We start from the raw sequence: 20,586 nt of genomic DNA, 5'->3' as shown, positions 1-20,586 counted from the left end.
GGAAATAGCGGCCATGGGCTTTTCAAATGGAGGAGAGATCTGGCCTCTCACTATTCTCATTTCAAAGCACTCCACCCTGCTCCTGTGACATCTAGGAGGTGGAGGGGACTGGGCAGGGCTTAGTGGCTGTTGAGGGATTCAGATGCCCCCTCTCCTTCTGCTCACCTTGCAGAGACCTGAGCAACAATCAGATCGCTGAGATTGCACCCGACGCCTTCCAGGGCCTCCGCTCCCTGAACTCGCTGTGAGTAGCAGTGCCAAGGCTTCCTCAGTGGCCCAGGGCATCCCCTGAGGAGGCTGGCAGGGCCCAGGGTCCTGGTGGATGCAGGAGGAGGAGCAGGGCTATGCCCCCCTCCACACAGCCCCTGCCCACCCCAGCCTCAGTGGGTCATCCTTTGGCTGCAAAGGGTTTGCTGTTCCAGCTCCCTCTTCCTCACTGGTGGACCCTCCGACGCTGGGAGCGGGAGAAGTGTGGAGAAGCTAGGCAGAGCTGTTGCCCCTGGCAACTGGGATGCACTCCCTGCCACAGTGAGGATTTTCCCAGCATTCTTTGCACAACCATCTTGGCCCCGTCCCCCGCCCGAAGCCCAGCATGCTGTGCTCCTGAGGCCTCTGCAGTCACCGCAGGGCCAGTGAGCACCAGCTCCAGTTGTGACATCTGCCACAACTTGCTATCTTTTATCCCAAATGTAATGAATCCCAAGATGTGGTGGGTGCTGCTAGGACAGTGTTTGCCCGCTCCTCCTTCAGTATTTCCCTTCCTTCAGGATCTACTGGGGAAGTCTGTCAATAAAACATACAAAAGGTAGTGAAGCACCTCCCTCTCCCACTCACCAAGGGCCTCACTACCCGAGGTCCTACAGCACTTTGTCTGTACAGAGAGCACACTCAGGGTGCCCTGGAGTTGGGCGAGCTCCCTGTAGGAGGGGCCATTTGTTACTCTAGGGGATGAGTGTTTTCACCTGCTCCTTGGCAGCACAGGACTCATGCTTGGCATAGACTAGAGGCCTGGCAAGTACAACGGAATAGAACTCCCCCGGGGAGTGCAGGAGCCTGCCAGCTCAGTGCCTTCTGTGTATGCCATCTTTTCTTGGAGCAGAGTCCAAGTAGAGGGTGGGGCCAATTATGAATGGCACCCCTGAAGTTGTGCAGTGTACACCCTACACAGCTGTACATGATAGCCTGGTGAGGGATCGTTGTCATTGGCTGAGGAGATCAGATTCTGAAGGTGGCCTGCCAAAATGCAGGGCCCTTCCTCTGAGAAGTGAATAAAGCTCTCCTAAGTTGGAACATGGCAGTCTAAAAAGGTAAAAGTGAATAACCCAACCAAGTGGATTTCTGTTGTTCATGGGTACCTGGTCACAGCCACCTCCCTGCATATAGGAACGTGGATGATTCCAGTACACCCCATCAACAGTGTCTACCTCGGCCAGCCCTGACCTTGCCTCCCTGCTTCAGTTCCTGCCCCCTCTGCTCCATTTCCCACCCAGCAGCTTGAGGGGTGTTTCTGAAATGGGAATCTGATGCTGTCTCAGTGGCTTCCTGATGCTGGCTGGGTAAAGACCAAGTTACTGTCCCATTTGTTCCCTCCATTCCAGCCACACTGGCCCCGTCACCTGTCCACACACGACAGGCACACACAGCTCCCACTGCAGGGCCTTTGCTGTTGCTGTGCCTCACTCCAGGAATGACCTTGAAGCCATGTTTGAAGAGGAAGTACCCAGGATTTTTTACTCAGCTTGAACGTTTACGAGGGTAGCTTGTGGGGTCCGATTATGATATTGGGAATGGCATACAACCCCCCTCCCCAAACCTCCTGGATGTTTTCACTGTCCTCCTGAACCCACCCATGTCTACATGTGTTTTTTTGAACTTTTGTTTTTTTAAAAAACCTATACATGGAATTCATGCTCAATGCAGAAAACTTTGAAAATGCTAAAGTATAAAAAAAAAATGCTTGAAGTCCCACCATCCGGATCTCACACTGCATATGCCGTCTGGCATTCTATTTTTTCCTGTAACTCTCTGAAAATATGTTAATTATTCCTGCCCATGGGATTTTCTCTTCTCTCAACAATCTCCTTTTGGATTCTGGACCAGATGAATTTCCCAGGAAGTGCCCCTTTGCAGCCTTCTGTGGGGTCCACGTGTGAGGGCGGTGAAGCAGGAGCTGCTTTGTTAGTGATTGGAGTCAGGGGCATCTCTAGCCCATAGGGCACTTTACGCCAAGAAGCAGGCAACGCTTTCTTAAGACACTTTACTGTCATCTGTGGACAAGTTGCTATAACAAATATACACCATTAGGATGTGCTCCATGTAAATGGCTTAGGGGCAGCGCTGTTGAGCTGGGGCCGTCTGCAGAGTTGTGCTATTGCCCTGGTGGGCTGTCCTCTAACCCTCCTCTCTGCTGCCTTTTCTCCAGGGTCCTCTATGGAAACAAGATCACAGACCTCCCCCGTGGTGTGTTTGGAGGCCTATACACCCTACAGCTCCTGTAAGAACGAATCCTGGGTGTCTTGGGTGGGACCCAGGGAAGGGCCAGCTTTCCTCTGGCCTGCTAGACTGTCCCTTTAGGCCTCTCTTGGGTATGGGACTCAATTGAGACAATGAGCTTGGAAGACAGGCAGACCCACTAGGGCTGAGAAAGTCTCCAGGGCTCTGCAGAGGCTAGAGAAGGAGGTAGAGGCAGCTTCAGAGCTGCTCACAGGATGCCAAAGCAGAGAGGCTCCTGAGACTCGGCCCGTGCTCCTGAGGAGCTTGGTGTGGCTGGGGACAGAGCTTTCTCCTGCAGGGGGGACACCCAGGCCAGCTCGGCCTCCTTGAACCATGAACTTTCAGGCAGGGATTGTCTCCCAGGGCTCAAGAGGCATAGAACACAAATGCTCCAACTCAGCTGCCTGGGGAACCCAATGGACCTCTGGGAAGGAGGAGGAGCCCCCCCCAAAAATGCCTTCACAAGGTGGCTCTCTGCTTTCCCGGAATCCCACAGGGCATCTCTAGCAGTTCTTGGAAAGAGAGACGAGTGGGTTGACCAAGATGTCCCTATGCATGGAGGAGGCAGTCGGAGTTCCGGGCCCCTCTCCGTGGGGCAGACATCCAGAGGGCAGATTCCCTGGGCCTGCTCCGATGGGCTCCTCCCTGTAATAACGCAGGCCGGGACTGAAGAAGGTGCCCAGGACCTGAGATGGGTCTCAGGTCGAGCCTCTCTCCTCACCACTTGGTCCTGGCTCTGCCCACAGGCTCCTGAATGCCAACAAGATCAACTGCATCCGGCCCGATGCCTTCCAGGACCTGCAGAACCTCTCACTGCTCTCCCTGTATGACAACAAGATCCAGAGCCTCGCCAAGGGCACTTTCACCTCCCTGCGGGCCATCCAGACTCTGTGAGTGCCCTGATGCCTTCTTCTTCTCCCCTCCCAGCAGGTGGGCCTGGGGGAGGTTGCAGCCTCCAGGGACAGGCAGCTCTCCGGCTCTGGGCTGCTGTGCTCACTGGGGGTGGCCTCTTACAGAGGAAGGACACAGACCTGGGTTAGACCGTCCTAGGTTCAAAGTCCACCTAGGCCTCTTATTGGCTGTGTGATTCTGGGCAGCTTCTCTGGGCCTCATTTTTATTTATCCGTAAGATGGGGATGCCTTCCCATAGGGTTGTTATGAGATTAAGGAGGATGTTTGTATGAAGCTTAGCTCATCACAAGTGCTTGATAAATGCTGCCTTTAGCTAACAATAATATTGATGGTGATGATGATGATAATATATCGCGCTGATTCTAAGACACATGTTGTTTCCACGTTAACAGCTCTGAAACTGGGATGCATGTTATAATCAGTGGTACATCACTTAGTTGGCAGCATTTTGTTCTTTATTGATAGTACAAAAAATAGTAGTGCCTCTTACAATTCATAATGTCAAATCAGATGAAATACGGTAATGACAATGGTGACTGTGAATAAAAAAATTAGAGAGCAATAAATCTGGTAATTTGTTGTAATATTTTATTGTGGAAAATTATAAGCAGATTAAGAGTAGTACTGTGGGCCGGGCATGGTGGCTCATGCCTCTAATCCCAACACTCTGGGAGGCTGAGGCAGGAGGATTGCTTGAGCCCAGGAGTTCAATACCAGCCTAGGTAACAGGGCTGGGCACCCCATCTCCACAAGAAATTTTTTTTTAAAAAGTAGCCAGGTATGATGGCACATACCTGTAGTCCCAGCTACCTGGGAGGCTAAAGTAGGATGATTGCTTGAGCCCAGGAGGTTCAGGCTACAGTGACATGTGGCCACACCCCCTGCACTCCCACCTGGGCAACGGAGAGACCCTGTTTCAAAAAAAAACAGAGTGCTATGTATGGTGAACCCCCAAGTTTTCATCACCCAGCTTCCAATCCTGTATAATTAATTCCTTAATATCATTGAGTATCTAGTTAGTGTTGAAATTTCCAAGTGTCTCTTACATGTTATGCAATTTTTTTGATTGTTTTTTGTTTTTTGAGCTGGAGTGTCGCTCTGTCACCTAGGCTGGAGTGCAATGGCACAGTCTCAGCTCACTGCAACCTCCACCTCCCAGGTTCAAGTGATTCTCCTGCCTCAGCCTCTGAAGTAGCTGGGATTACAGGCGCCCGTCACCACGCCTGGCTAATTTTTTGTATCTTTAATGGAGATGGGGTTTCACCATGTTGGCCAGACTGGTCTCAAACTCCTGACCTCGTGATCCACCTGCCTCGGCCTCCCAAAGTGCTGGGATTACAGATGTTAGCCACCACGCCCGGAATGTTATGCAATTTTTTAATAGTTTGAATCAGGATTTAAATAAAGCCTGTGCAATATAACTGGCTGATGTTGGTTTATGTTGGTTGATGTACCTCTTAAGTTGCTGTTTATCTATGTGTCCTCTCCATTTCTCTTTTCCTTGTAACTGATTTGTTGAAGACACTGCATCATTGGTTCTGTAGGGTCTAGACTTTGTTGATTGCTTCCCTGTGGTGTAGTTTCACATGTTCCTCTGTCTTCTCTGTATCCTGCAGATTGAAAATTGGATCTAGGAGCTCGGTCAGGTTCAGTTTTGATTGATTTATTTGGCAAGATGATTTTATAGATGGGATTGTGGACTTCCCGTCAGAAGGCAGACAGATGTCTGGCTGTCTCCCTTTTGTAATAAAAACAGCCATTGATCTCAGTGCTTGAACCCATTAATTCATTAGCAATCCTGAAATGGTGATTTTGAATTTGTATCAGTCTGTTTTTGTGTTACTATCAAGGAATACCAGAGACTAGGTAATCTATAAAGAAAAGAGGTTTACTTGGCTGACAGTTCCATGGGGTGTACACATACGGCACCAACATCTGCTTGGCTTCTGGTGAGGCCTCAGGAAGCTTACAATCATGGCAGAAGGCGAAGCAAGGGTAGGCACGTCACGTGACAAGAGGAGGAGCAAGAGAGGGAGGGGGAGTGCCATGCTCTTTTAAATAATCAGATCTTGCATGAGCTCAGAGTAAGAACTCACTCATTATCACAAGGGCAGCACCAAGCCATTCATGAGGGATCCACTCTTATGCCTAGTCTTGCTTCGCCTTCTGCCACGATTGTAAGCTTCCTGAGGCTCACCAGAAGCCGAGCGGTTGTTGGTGCCATACTCGTCCAGCCCACAGAACTCTCAGCCCAGTAAACCTCTTTTCTTTATAAATTACCTAGTCTCAGGTATTCCTTTATAGAAACACAAAAGCAGACTGATACAAATTCGACCAAACACCGAACACCGATCCGAACACCTCCCATCAGGCCCCGCCTCCAACACTGGGGATTACATTTCAACATGAGGTTTGGTGGGGACGAACATCCAAACCATATCAGAATTCTAACATTCTTTTTTCATTTCTAATGCAGTTGTGACTATGCTTTAAAACAGAATCCTTATATTTAACTGGAATGTTTCCACGTAAGGAAAATTCTCATCTGTTGTGTGGTTAAACTTAGGCAATTAAATGGTCCCCTTCATCTACATCTTTAATTCTGAGCCTGCAGTTAGGCAGGATGTGCTGACTTGTGGGTTCTGTGGTGTGCATTTAATGAGCATTAATTATTAATATTATTGTGTCCATTGTTGTCGCTGTAATCCCTGCCCCTGTCTATGCCAGGCAGTGCTCTTCATCAGATAACATCTACATGGGGTATTGGGATAGGTTCCAAACAGGCTGAGTAAAAGGTACAGCTCGTGACCCCTGGGGACTCTGCACATCACCAGAGATGTCAGCCACAAAGACAAACTCATTAAAGCCCACAAATTTGCCTGCAGCCCAACTCCTCCCAATTAATTTACTTATAGCCAGGGAGACAAAGAGGAAGCCCCATGGGGAAACCTTGCCAAGTATGTGAAATTAGAGGGTACAGGGAGACACTGGCAAGGTGGACTATTTTAAGCAGCTGGCAGAATGTCTGAGAGAAACATGCTAAGGAGATTTACTGGCCGGGGACTCACACACAGGAAAACCTTGGGGATGGGGAATGGGAATGAGAGACTCATGTGAGCCACTGTTCTTTGCATGTATTATCTTAATACTTACAGTGATGCTATGAAGGTAGGTGCTTTATCATCCTGATTTTACCTAAAACAAAGACTGAGAGAGGTTATGTGACACACCCAATGTTGCAGAACATCCGGTAAAACAGGAATTTGATCTCAGGCATCTCTTCGCCATCACCAAGAAATTACTTAGCTGCCCCTTTAATTGTGCTTTTTCTGTAAGAACAGAGCTCATTATTGAAGGCTGTAAAGCAACACTGAACTTTCATGCACATCTATTAGATGTTAACAACTGAACTACAACTTGGAATAAGAATAAAAGAAATAGAAATCCAAGGTACTATCAGGTACTATTATTACAACCTCAAGTGGTTCAGTTTCTTGACTGAGTCTTATTTTATTAAACCTGAGCAGATTTAAATTTACCAAATCATGTTTGATTTGTCCGTAGCTCCAAGATCTGTGGCGAAGTCCCTGTGTAACAGCATTGATTTTGCTGCAGTTTTACTTGCCCCAAGAGATTTAACATTTAAAAAAAAGAAACAGCTCTATTGAGGTATAACTTACATGCCATAAAGTTCACCTGTTCTAAGTATACAATTCAGTGATTTTTAGTAAATTTCCAGAATTCAACTATCACTACGATTCAACTTTAGAACGTTTCCATCACCTTCCCTTCCAAATCCCTTGTCCCCATTTCCAGACTCAGCTGCTGGCCATCACTGATCTATTTCCTTTCTCTGTAGATTGCCTTTTCTGAACATTTCATAAAAATGGAATCATACAGGCCAGGTGCAGTGGCTCACACCTGTAATCCCAGTGCTTTGGGAGGCTGAGGTGGGCAGATCACCTGAGGCCAGGAGTTTGAGACTAGCCTGGGCAACATAGTGAGATCCCCACCTCTACACAAAATTCTTAAAAATTAGCCAGGTGTGGTGGTGCATGCCTGTGGTCCCAAGTACTCAAGAGGCTGAGGTGGGAGGATTCCCTGAGCCCAGGAGTTCAAGGATGCAATGAGCTGATTGCACCACTGCACACAGGCTGGGTGACAGCCTGAGACCGACTCCAAAAAAAAAAAAAACAAACAAAAAAAAACCGAATCATACAATATGCCATCTTTTGTGACTGACTTATTTCTTTAGCATAACGTTTTTGAGGCTCATTCATATTGTAGCATGTATCAGTACTTTGTTCCTTTTGATCGCCAAATAATTTTTCCATTGTGTAAATAGACCACAATTTGCTTGTCCATTCCAGGTGATGGACATTTGGGGTGGTTTCCACTTTGGGGACATTATGAACAATGTTGCTATGAATATTCACTCACAAATCTTTGTGTGGACCAACATTTTCCTTTCTTTTTTTTTTTTTTTTGAGATGGAGTTTCACTCTGTCGCCCAGGCTGGAGTGCAGTGGCACGATCTCGGCTCACTGCATCCTCCACCTCCGAGGTTTAAGCAATTCTCTGCCTCAGCCTCCCAAGTAGCTGGGATTACAGGTGCCCACCACCATGCCCGGCTAATTCTTTTTGTATTTTTAGTAGAGACGGGGTTTCACCATCTTGATCAGGCTGATCTTGAACTCCTGACCTCGTGATCCACCCACCTCGGCCTCACAAAGTGCTGGGATTACAGGCGTGAGCCACCGCGCCCGACATTTTCATTTCTTTTGGAATTTCTGGTTCATATGGTAGATTCCTGTTTAACTTTTTTAAAGAAACTGCCAGTGTTTTCCAAAGTGGCGGTACTATTTTACATTCCCACCAGTGGTGTATTATGAAGGCTCCAAATTTCTCTCATTCTAATCCTCACCAACACTTGGCTGTACTATTTTACATTCCCACCAGTGGTGTATTATGAGGGCTCCAAATTTCTCTCATTCTCAGCCTCACCAACACTTGGTATTGTTTGTCTTTTTTTTTTTTGCATTTTGATTCTAGCCATCCTAGTGGGTGTGAAGTGGTATCTCATTGTGGTTTTAATTTGCATTTCCCTAATGACTAATGCTTTTGAGCCTCTGCCTCCAAAGATTTTTAGCTGTGACTCCTTAATGCATACATCTACAAAGACACTGAGAATCAGTCCTCTCTTCCTTTCCTTCCACTGCCAGAACTGTTCAGGGAGGCAGCTGCGTGGCCACATATGCAGCACGTTTTTGGGTGTTCCTTTAACACGATTATTTTTTCCCAAATGAATTTTTTTTCTTCCTCTTGAGTGTTCTCTCTTTCCAGCTTCCTGCTCTTTGAAACTGTTAAAAATTCTAATTTGTATAAAATACTAAAGTTTGTACAGAAGCCACCTGTCTCTGTGGGTGGTTCAAGTTTTATAGGTTGTTTCTGGCACAGCCTGTTTTTAGAAAGGAGATATTCTACACCACACACCTTGAGTATTTTAATACATGCCTAAACAACACAATTGGATTGACTACACAGTTTTCTGCCAAGATGGTAATAAAGGGAAGCAATTGGTTCAGGCAGGGGCTGAGGCACTGAGGCACAGCCAGATGTGGATGGGCAGCTGGGGAGGAGTCATAAGCAGTCCTTAAATCCTGGTATGTTTTAAATTAGCTACAAACTCTGCCCCCAGGATATCAGCAAACACATCCTCTCTGTGCAAACTGAAAGTTTAAAAGGGGAAATGAATGTTGAGCTTGATGCAGAAGAGGTGGGAGGGACCTGGTCCACCTGGTGGAGCTGAGAGGAGCAAGAACTCAGGTGGGAAATAGGGAAAGACACTGCAAAGGAGAGGTGGCAGGGACCCAGCTCCCAACCGGGGGGCCAGAGGGCAGAGCCCAGGAGGTGATGGACGGCAGAGAGCACCGCCAAGGTCTGAGGTGAGCTGGGCACAGACCCTGGGCAAGGGTTTACTCATCTGCTTGGAGAGTCCTGCAGCCCCTTGCAGGGGCCTGGGCTGAGACCAGTAAGTCAGATGGCCTGAACTGATGGCACTTAGATGGAGGAAAAGTGGCCATGGCAGGGCAAGTCTCTTTGAGTTGGCCTGTTGCTCTGTCTCCCCGTACTTCTTTTTTTTTCCTTTTCGAGACAGAGTTTCGCTCTTGTTGACCAGGCTGGAGTGCAGTGGCACAATCTCAGCTCACCGCAACCTCTGCTCCCTGGGTTCAAGCGATTCTCCAGAGCCAGGACAGGTGTAGGAATGCTCTTCCCAGGCTGCCTCGGTTTGTACAGCCATGAGCAGGGCATGCCCAGTGCTGTGGTGGCTCAGAGGTAGCTGGTCTGAACCTGCTGTTTGTCAGAGCCCACCCGTGGGCATGCCAGCATGGGGTCGCACACAGCAACCCATCACGGCCATCTGCTCCCCGCCACCATCCCCGTATTTATCCTGCTGACAACACAGGCAGCCTGGGAGAGAATCTGAGTGAATCCCCAGCAAGGGGCTGCTCAGTCATGATTTCTGAGTTTTCTTTGTGTTGACAGACAGCTGTAAAATGGTCAAGGAGAGGTCACTCCTGTGGCCTGGGGTGGGGATGGTGACTCCCTGTGAAGCCCAGGGACTCCAGCAGGCCTGGCCACCCTGGCCTCATCCCTCTCTATAGGAGACAGGCTGCTACCTGAGTCTGAAGGAAAGGGCACAAACCAGGGCCCATGGCCACTGGGGAGGGTCAGAGGCTGTGGCCTGGGCGCCTGCAGTCCTGGGTTTTGTTACCCTCTCTGGGCTTTGGCTTCCTTGCCTGTGAAAGGCCAGGGGTGCTCTGGCCAGCCTCTGGGTCCTTCCTGTCTCCGCTCGTGCTCGTGAAATGTCCCAGGGCAGAGAGAGGGAAAGGTGAGTGGAAAGAGAGGGGGCAGAATGAGGCTTGATGGGGAGTAGGACAGCAGGAAGCTCTGGGTGGCAGAGACCCTTCACCTGTAGTGCGCTGGCAGGACCTCTCCAGAGGTGGTGGGCTGCACCCTGGGGGTTCACCCCACTCTCTCTTTCCCCCCGTGGCTGACCCTAGGCTCCAGGCCACAGGCAGCCTCCTTGGCCCCAGCCACAACGAGGCCCTGTCCCGGTGGAGGTCAGCGCGGGTTTGCAGCCCTTGTTTCTCATAGCTGATCTGCCTGCTTTGGACAGGCACCTGGCGCAGAACCCTTTCATTTGCGACTGTAACCTCAAGTGGCTGGCAGACTTCCTGCGCACCAATCCCATCGAGACGAGTGGTGCCCGCTGTGCCAGTCCCCGGCGCCTCGCCAACAAGCGCATCGGGCAGATCAAGAGCAAGAAGTTCCGGTGCTCAGGTACCTGCCCGCCTGCCCACCTGCCCACCTGTCCACCTACCTGCCTGCCCACCTGCCCACCGGCCTACTTGTCCACCTGCATACCTGCCCACCTGCCCACCTACCCGCCTGCTCACTTGCCTGCCTGCCTACCTGTCCACCTGCATACCTGCCCGCCTACCCACCTGTTCACCTACCTGCCTGCCCACCTGTTCACCTACCTGCCTCCCTGCCGGCCTGCCTGCCTACCTGTCTGCTTGTCTGTCTGTATTCAGCCTGCTCAGGGACCCCCTGATGTTTCCTGGATGGCTCCCACAAAGGTGTCTTTCATTACTGTGAACCCAGACTGGAGGGTGTGGGCCCAAAATTCTAGACTTGATCTGAATGGTAGTTCAGTCCCACCTCATTTTATTGAGGCCTAGGGAAGAAGCAAGGCTTGCTGAAGGTCCCAGAGGGAGGACTCAGGTCCCTCCACTTTTAGCCAGTTCTCTTTTATGCCTTTGTTGTCAAGCCTTTTAAGACACTCAGGAGGCCTGGGAACCCTCCTTAGTGAGATAGGAGCCTCCTCCAGGCTTTGGGATGCAGAAACAGCCTTAGCAATTGTAGTCCACGTGGCATCTGGCTGGGGACAGTGTGGGGCAGCTTCTGAGCCTACATCCTGGTCAAGGTCCTGACGCCACCTGTACCCCGTCCCCACCTGTAAAATTAGCACAGTCCCCACCTCGTGCCATTGCGAGTGAGAGCTCGATGGTTTTGGCACTCCTTGCGAGAGGTTTAACTGGATGCGACACCCCCAGTGTCAGCCTGGGCAAGGAACATGCGTGCTCTGTAGCTCGCCCTTCTGCACACAGGGACTGGGCAGATGGGCTCCTCAGCCCTGTCTGGGGTGCCTTCAGCTGAGCAGTGGGGCTGGGGCCTGGGCTGTTACTGCAGGTCCTGGCTGATTCCTGCATTATGGTATTTCTGCTTCTCTTCCCAGCCAAAGAGCAGTACTTCATTCCAGGTAGGAGAGTGGGGGGATCCAAGGCCAGCCTGGCGGGAATGGTGGTAGTGGGTGGGCAGGCTGGGGGCCTTGGTTGACCCAAACTGCTGGGAGCCGGCCCCGGGCTCCTCAGCCTCTGCCCCCACCCTCTCATGGCAGGCACGGAGGATTACCAGCTGAACAGCGAGTGCAACAGCGACGTGGTCTGTCCCCACAAGTGCCGCTGTGAGGCCAACGTGGTGGAGTGCTCCAGCCTGAAGCTCACCAAGATCCCTGAGCGCATCCCCCAGTCCACGGCAGAACTGTGAGGGTCCCTGGCCCCCCCAGCCCTCCCCTGTCCCTAACTGCCACTAACCCTCCTTGGCCTACTCCAGGATTTTCTTGGTCCAGCCCTGTCTGGGGCTGAACCACTGGAGCCTCTGGCTCAGGACATACCAACTGCTGGCTTGGGCAGGAAGAAACCCCACCCCTGCTGCCCTCTGCTTCATTCACAGCCCCCCTCACCCATCAAAAGCAGATGCCAGTCTCTGGCACTCAGGGCAGGTCACCAGCCTGAATCAGGGATGGCTTTTCTCAACGATGCGTTTGTCTTATTCTGTGGGACATGATTCCAAAACTCTTTGTTATTTTTATTCCTCTATCTAAAAATATGAATTTGTGTACACATATGTCTATGTGCATAGATGCCTGCAAGCATCTGTCATTTACGTCTGTAAATTTTTCATGGCATTTTTAATGTTAAAAATATCCCCATTCATATCCTCTCCCAGTACTAGGCCCAGCCTTCCTTTGAAATAGGATCAATTTGCTTTGCCAGATAAATTCTTCTGGGAGTCTTCTCTGTTTGAGTCCCAAATATTCTCAGTTTGGAAGGGATTTGAAATGTCCATCATTTGTGAATGTGCAAGTTCATTCTTGTCTCTTACAGGCGATTGAATAACAATGAGATTTCCATCCTGGAGGCCACTGGGATGTTTAAAAAACTTACACATCTGAAGAAAATGTGAGTTACCCATTGGCGAGAAGGTGTCTGTTGGGATGCTGGCCAGGGATGGACAAGGGAAATGCCAGGGTGGGGGCAGCTCCCACGGCGGGGGGCCAGGACTCTGTGTGTGGGGGTGTTGCCTGCAGGAAGGGAGGGGCCTGAGCTCCTGGCTGCTGGCCATATGTAATCCTCCCCCCGCCTCTTCTCCCAGCAATCTGAGCAACAACAAGGTGTCAGAAATTGAAGATGGGGCCTTCGAGGGCGCAGCCTCTGTGAGCGAGCTGCACCTAACTGCCAACCAGCTGGAGTCCATCCGGAGCGGCATGTTCCGGGGTCTGGATGGCTTGAGGACCCTGTGAGTGTGCAGGGCTGGGGAGCAGGGTGGGCCAGCTGCAGGAGGCAGGCAAAGCCAAGGGAAAGGAAGAGAGAGGCTGGAGGAGCCCCTCCCCTGGGCCCAGCTTGCAGGAGGGTGGGGAGAACTGAGGATCCTGACTGTGTTGGGACAGGTAATCAAGTTGGCAACTCTATGGTGAGACCTGTTCTCTTGTACCCTGGGGCATGGGGCCAATGCCCAGTTGGCCTCAAGGGATGGAGACATGTGGACCCTTCTAGGGGTCCCTTCCCATTGCCCTCTGGTCAGGCTGCAAGAGCACAGCATGAGTTCAGGAGTGGCTGGCACTGCTGCAGGCAGGAGGGGCTGGATGACCTTGCCAAGGTGATTCAGTGGGTGTAGATAGGGGAGCAGGGATGCTGCACTGTCCCTGAGATGCTAGGATCCCATAACCCACAGCCCAGCCTGAGCTGACCAGAATCTGGAGCTCAGTGGGATCCTGGGGTCATCTGCTCCTCCATGATGCAGGACACCCCCTCCATCTGCCCCAGGAGGGCTGGCTCTTCAGATGATCCTGAGGGTGTGTATCGTGTCCCATAGACAGGGCAGTCTGTCGGATCTCCCACAGAGATGGAAATGTTTCAAGTCTACGCTGTCCAGACCAGTCACTTCATGTGGCTGTGGAGCAGTTGAAATGTGGCTAGTGCTACTCAGTGACTGAATTTTGAATTTCATTTTATTTTAATGCATTTAAATCTAAATAGCTACATGTGGCTAGTGGCTACTATATTGGACACCACAGCTCTAGGAAGCCACTTGCCCAGGTATAAGTCCCAAATCTGCAGCAGGATGTAGAGTTGTCTCTGAGCAAGTAAATGAATGTGTGACAGGACTCCCTGTGGATTTTTGTTCCTTTATTTTACAAAAAGCAAATTTTATTATGCACTATGTTTTGCAGCTTGCTGTTTTCACCTGTGAATACAGCATTGCCTTCTTTCCAGGCTGTTCCTATAGGCTGCCTCATTTTTCTTTATGCTTACCTAGTATTCCTTAAATGTGGGTGTGGGGGCTGTCCAGTCAGCTGCATTCTTTCCAAGGAAGACTTAGATAAGGACAGAGGAAAAGAGAAGGGCCCATACCCCATCACTATCCAGAAATGACCACTGTTAATTGTTGGTATAAACAACTGTCTTTCCAGTCTTTTACATATCTCTAAACCTGCATACACATACATATACACACATACATACATACAAGCATGCACGCATACAGAAATATTCTAATGGACTCGTACATTTTATTTAGTAACCTGCTTTTTCCTTAAACTTAATATGAGCACCATTACATATTAAAATTTTTTTCCATTCCACATTTAATTCCTAATACAAAAAAAGTGCTCTGCATCAGTTTGAATGACTAGGTATTATATAATTATTGGCAATGTAGGCTGTTTCTATTTTTTTTTTTTTATAAGCAATGTTGTATTGATACCTGCCTTAGTGGGTTCAGGCTGCTATAACAAAGAGCCACAGACTGGAGGTTTATAGACAACAGAAGTTCTGGAGGCTGGAAGTCTGAGACCAGGGTGCCAGCATGGATGGGTTCTGGCGAGGGCCCTCTTCTGGGTTGCAGACTTCTGACTTCTCATTGTGTCCTCACATGGTAGAAAGAGGGCAAGAGAGCTCTCTGGGATCTCCTTGATAAGGGCACTAACTCCATTCATGAGGGCTCCACCCTTATGACCTCATTACCTCCCAAAGAACCCCCATCCTGATCCCATCACACTGGGGATTAGGACTTCAACATAGGGATTGGAGGGGATCACATTCATTCTGTGACAATATCTTTATTGTGAAGTTCACGTATAATGCATGATAATACTCTTGTTAGGAATTCCTAAAGATGGAGTAGTCGGGTGAAAACACAAAGTGTCATTTTGGGGATTTTGCTACATCTCACCAAATGCACTTCCAGGGAGGTATAAAGGCATCTCCTGCCAGTGTGTGGAAGTGCCCAGTCACTCACACTCTCAGAGATCCTGGATGTCATTATTATTATTATTATATTTTTCATTCTTTTTTAATTTGGCAGGCAAAAAATCAATATTGCATAAGTGTCTTTGATTAGTAGTAACATTGAACATTTTTGTGAATGTTGATAAACCATTTTAATTTCTTTTGTGAGTTGGCTACCCTGTGTTGACTTGGTTTTTGTTTTTACTTTTGGTTGGCAAGTGAAATTGAGCTGGGTTTTTGTTGTTATTGTTGTTGTTGTTTAGGGAGACAGGGTCTCACTCTGTCTCCCAGGCAGCTGGGGTGCAGTAGTGCCATCATAGCTTACTGTAACCTTGAACTCCTGGGCTCAAGAGATCCTCCCACCTCAGCCTCCCAAGCAGCTGGGACTACAAGTGCACACCACCATGCCTGGCTAAGTTTTAAATTTTTTTGTAGAGACAAGGTCTCGCTATGTTGCCCAGGCTGGTCTCAAACCCCTGGTTTCAAATAATCCTTGGCCTCCCAAAGTGCTGTTTTTACAGGCATGAGCCACTGCATCAGGCTTGGGCTGGGTTTTTGAAGATGAACAGCAGCTTTTCCAGATGTAGATGAGGCAAAAGAGTATTCTAGAAAACTGTCACAGCGGTGTAGCAGGCTGAGGGCTGGTCCATCTCTAGGGAGGCAGGCAGGTGCCAGGGCTGAGATGGTCCGGGTCTGGGTAGACATGGTCTCAGGTCACAGTAAGGAGTTCGAGCATGACTCGGTGGGCAGTTTGGAGGCTGTTAGTGGACTTTAAGCTGGAGAGTGACATGATGGATTAGGTTTCAGGAAGTCTCCTGGGCACTGATGTGGAGCATGGCCTAAAGACGGGCAGGAACTCTGGGCACCCAGGGCACGGAGGCAAGGCCAGCATGGGGGACAGGGCAGTGGCAGGGAGAGAGAGACAGAGCCTCGAGGCTTCTCAGAGGCGGGGGCGGGTCTGGAGTGGGCACAGGTGTGTAAAACTCGCCTCACCTGGCCGGGGCCTGGCTGGTGCGTGTTCCTGGCTCTGCGGCTCGCAGCCTATGGAGGAGAACTGTGAACGAGCCACGATGGCGGAAGCTGCGTGGCCCAGGTGGATGGCTGGCAGGGCAGCAAGGGTCCCCTCCTCCCTCCCCCGTTCCTCCCCAGAATGCTGCGGAACAACCGCATCAGCTGCATCCACAACGACAGCTTCACGGGCCTGCGCAACGTCCGGCTCCTCTCGCTCTACGACAACCAGATCACCACCGTATCCCCAGGAGCCTTCGACACCCTCCAGTCCCTCTCCACACTGTGAGTCCGGCCTCCAGGACAGGCGGGCGGGGGCTCTGGAGCAACCGTCCCAACCGTCTCGGCCAGCCACTTTGAAAGAGCTCACCCTGGGGGTGCTGGGTCTTCGTGGTTTGCTGAAACGTGGGTTCCACATTTCGAAGTCTCCCTCCGGTCCTCAGAGCCGGTCCTCTTGGTGATGGGTGGTGGTCTGGGAGACAGTGCCATGTGGCCATGTGGCCCTGTGTCCGTGGTACAGGAGGGGTTTGCTGGGACCTCTGAGAGGGGCAGAGTGTCTCCATGGCCGCCTGGCCTGCCTCTTCCAGGAATCTCCTGGCCAACCCTTTCAACTGCAACTGCCAGCTGGCCTGGCTAGGAGGCTGGCTACGGAAGCGCAAGATCGTGACGGGGAACCCGCGATGCCAGAACCCTGACTTTTTGCGGCAGATTCCCCTGCAGGACGTGGCCTTCCCTGACTTCAGGTGTGAGGAAGGTAACTCGTGGCCCCCCGGTGGCAAGGGAGAGGGCGCCCTGGGTCCAACCAGTGGGGTGGGGCAGGTGAGGAAGATGGGAGTGGACAGGCAGCACCCCCTGGCATGCCCCTGAGAGGAGAGGTTAGGTGGGGAGGGGAGGCCCTGTTTTCAGGAGGAGACGCGCCTGCCTGGTGGTGTCTTTGTGTGGTTATAAGAGCAATAAAGTTCCTATCCTTAAAAAATGGGAAAGTATGGATAAAAGAAGGAAATAAACTTTACCTATTATTCCATCGCTCAGAGAAAACAGTTCCCATTTTAGTGTAGTTTCTTTCTGTAAGTTTGGTGAACTCAGACCTGCCTTTTGGCTGTCCCTAAGCACTCTAGACTCATGGGGTCACCTTATCTTAATATGCAATGGAACCCTTTTGAGTCCCCTCCCCCATATGTAGGAAACCCTGGTCACTCTTTGCTCCAATGCCTTGTTTCCTGGGACTTCTCAGGGTAGCCCCATCCCTCATTTTTTCGCCACAGCACCAAGCACGGAAGGTCACTGTAGGAAGCAGATTTTTCTCTGTGCAGCCATCCCATCCTTAGTGTCTCTCAGCACCCTGCCGCAGGGAATTTCTCCCTGGCTGACCTCAGCTTCCAGCCCCCTTCTCCGCTTCTGGGTGCTAAGGTGCCTCCCTTCTCCCTGGTCTCTCCCTTTCTTGCCTTCTACCCCCTGCAGCCTACTCCCAGTGGCAGCTCCACCCTCAGCTGGCCTGGCCAGGCCACGTGGCAGTGGAGAGCTTTGACTTTCACCCCAAGAAACACCATCAGGGTATTTTCTAAACAAAATTAATGAATTCTCTAAGAATACTTTTGCTTCTGACTTCTAAAATTTAAAAAAGAGTCTATACTATTTACATATATATTTTATTAATTTATATAATAATAGCTTGCAAGTCTTTTTAAAAATGTCTGATTTGTTTAAAACCTAACTATATATTTTGGGCATTTTCTCATGCCATTAACTATCCTTTGGAAACATTATTTTTTCCAAGATACGGTTTCCTTTTATCCTTCTTTTTACAAAAGAAATGCATCCTCATTCCTTAAAACAACAACAACCAAGGACAACCAGAAGGAGGATTTAAAAAAGTTACTGACAGGCCAGGCGCGGAGGCTCATGCCTGTAATCCCAGCACTTTGGGAGGCCGAGGCGGGCAGATCCCTGAGGTCAGGAGTTCAAGACCAGCCTGGCCAACATGCTGAAACCCTCTCTTTACTAAAAATACAAAAATTAGCCAGGCATGGTGGCGCATGCCTGTAGTCCCAGCTACTTGGGAGGCTGAGGCAGAAGAATCTTTAGAATTTGGGAGGTGGAGGTTGCAGTGAGCCGAGATCACACCGTTGCACTCCAGCCTGGGCAACAGAATGAGAATCTGTCTCAAAAAAAAAAAAAAAATTAACGATTTGCCCACTACCCCCCGGCCCCCATGCCCCAACTCTGGATAACTCCTGTCGACATTTGCTATGTGGCTTTCCAGATCTTTGCTGTGTGCTCATGTGCACAAGTGTGGCACACAGAGGATCTTGCAGGGCCACCTGTGAAAACCTTTCAACAGGATGGACCGCTATCTGGAAGGCTCCACAATTGATGTAAGCAGCCCCCAGCTGCTGGACATTCAGACAACCTCCCAAGTCCCGCTCCAATGCATCGTGCTGCCAGGAGCACCCTCGTAGATGCTCCCTACGTATATATTCCACTCTCCCCTAGAACAGCTTCCTAGAGGTGAAAGGATGTGAATATTTCTAAGATGTTGCTGCTGAGAGCCTGGTGGCCAATCGAGCAGGTTCTGGAGGCAGGCTGCTTGCTCCAGGCTGGGGCAAGTTTCTGAACCACTCTGCCTTTAGTTTCCTCATTGCTCCAATGGGCTAATAGTAACACATTCACTAGAGAGCTGTTCTGAGGATTCAGTGAGTTCACCCTTATCCTGTGGGGCCTGCACACAGGCGACCTGCATAACTGATGGTCACTGTCACCCGGGAGCATGTGCTACCAGCATCCCAGTGTCCTCAAGAACTCCGACCGTGGTGATATTATCATCTCTCTGACACCCAATCAGCAGAAAGGAAGGCACAGATTTTTTGAATAGATGAATGAATCAATGAAGGGATGGTGTGGTATCGAGGGCTCGGATTTTGCGGCAGCCAGACCTGGGCTCAGACTCTGCATTGCCTTGGACCCACTTTATGATTCAAGCAAGGTGCCTAACGTCTCCAGACCTCAATAAAATGGAAATTCATCCACTTGTTCATTCATTCATTCAACTCATCTGTTTTGAGGGCTGCTGCGTGCCAGGCACTGCACTAGGCACTGGGCTCTATCAGTGAAAAAAAGAGGAGAAAAGAGGCCCAGGTCTCCATCCTCCTCATGCCTGCATTCTAGGGGCGATGCTGCACCCCTAACTGTACTGTTAAGGAGACAATGTCGATCCAGTGCCCGGAGTAGCAGGCACTCCGGGGATGGGATGGTGCGCGGCCATCCTCCTGTTCTACTTTGACCAGGTCCACTTTGAGTTTGAGGAGAAAGAGACCAACTCAAGACCTATTTTAACCTCAAAACTGCTCCAGGGGGCTTCATTCCTGGTGGCGGTGGTGGCTGGCGGGGAGGTGTAGTGCACAGACTTACTGATGGCCAAGGTACTGTCAGAGGGGTCTTCTGTTCTGAGAGGCCCCAGAGCATGGCCCTGACTGTAGGAGGCCCTACAGCGGCCCGTCCACCTCCCTGACAGGGGCTTCGTGCCTTCTTCCCTAGGCCAGGAGGAGGGGGGCTGCCTGCCCCGCCCACAGTGCCCACAGGAGTGCGCCTGCCTGGACACCGTGGTCCGATGCAGCAACAAGCACCTGCGGGCCCTGCCCAAGGGCATTCCCAAGAATGTCACAGAACTGTGAGTAGCTCAAGGCCTTGCCCCCTTCACGTGGGTCCACAGGACGGGGACAGTGGGGGCATTTCCTGAGGGGCTGGGGCCTAGCCATGGGAGGAGGAGGTGACCAAGAGCAGGCATTAGCTGACTAGGAGCTGGAGTTCGGGCTTTGCAGAAAACACTGCCTCCAGAAAGGCTTTGAGCTTCTCTCTGATTCTCCCTCTGCGGTCACCTGATGACCGCATGGCAGCGAGTGCTTCCTCCCTTTAAACTAAGCTCCGCCTTTAAAATGAGGAGAACCTTGCTTTCCCGCCTGTCATTGTCTCAGGCTCCTGTGTCATGAAGACACAAATGTGATTTTTGCACCAGCAGTGTAGTGTTCTTCACATGAATCTACTATGACCCAGATAACAAAACCCCTTTTGTTGGATATTTGTTTCCAATTTTTTTTTACTGTCATAAACAGCACCAGTGCTAACACCCCCTCACTGAAATCGCCAGTCAGAGAGCGGTGCGTTTTTAGGACTCTTGCTGCCTTTTGCCTGATGGTCTTCCAAGAAAATCTGTTTCCTTTGCACTCCCATTGACCATGTGAGAAGGTGGCCTTCTTGCTTCCCTGGGTCAGCACTGAGTATGGTGCTGAAATCCTGGCTGATTGGTATTTGGTATCTGAGCACATGTGGAGGATTGGACATAGATGCATTTGACAAACAGGAATGGAGAGCTGGGACTTCTTCAGCAGACACCTCCCAATGAAAGACTCTGGCCAGCTCCTGACCTCTGACCTCTTCCTGTGCTCTGGGGTTGATCCCTCCAGGCCTCCAAAGCTGAGCTTTTCTCCCCCCACCCCCAGGACCAGCGATGAGGCTTCTATTTGTTATTTCTTGCATTACC

The 20,586-nt window shown here is 50.4% G+C and overlaps 1 protein-coding gene across 1 annotated transcript in view, besides 1 other annotated feature; it reads left to right on the top strand.

Moving 5' to 3' along the window:
* The window catches only part of SLIT1 (slit guidance ligand 1), a 187,922-nt gene that overhangs the window by 126,256 nt on the left and 41,080 nt on the right, over nt 1-20,586 (top strand). The window contains exons 11-21 of the mRNA NM_003061.3: nt 173-244; nt 2,423-2,494; nt 3,240-3,383; nt 10,586-10,749; nt 11,708-11,731; nt 11,870-12,014; nt 12,639-12,713; nt 12,907-13,050; nt 16,191-16,334; nt 16,637-16,803; nt 19,584-19,716. Coding sequence (NP_003052.2) covers nt 173-244; nt 2,423-2,494; nt 3,240-3,383; nt 10,586-10,749; nt 11,708-11,731; nt 11,870-12,014; nt 12,639-12,713; nt 12,907-13,050; nt 16,191-16,334; nt 16,637-16,803; nt 19,584-19,716 — 1,284 coding nt within the window. The remainder of the gene's footprint in view (nt 1-172; nt 245-2,422; nt 2,495-3,239; nt 3,384-10,585; nt 10,750-11,707; nt 11,732-11,869; nt 12,015-12,638; nt 12,714-12,906; nt 13,051-16,190; nt 16,335-16,636; nt 16,804-19,583; nt 19,717-20,586) is intronic.
* Nucleotides 9,072-9,171: a silencer, noted in NCBI's record as "silent region_2666". NCBI's record gives its function as "represses an Ori minimal core promoter by ATAC-STARR-seq in GM12878 lymphoblastoid cells {active_cell/tissue: GM12878}" and the evidence as "EXISTENCE:reporter gene assay evidence [ECO:0000049][PMID:35858748]".

Source organism: Homo sapiens, chromosome 10 (genome assembly GCF_000001405.40).
Source record: "Homo sapiens chromosome 10, GRCh38.p14 Primary Assembly".
NCBI lineage: Eukaryota > Metazoa > Chordata > Mammalia > Primates > Hominidae > Homo > Homo sapiens.
The sequence above is the reverse complement of the archived record's forward strand: the minus strand, read 5'-3'. Positions and strand labels throughout refer to the sequence as shown.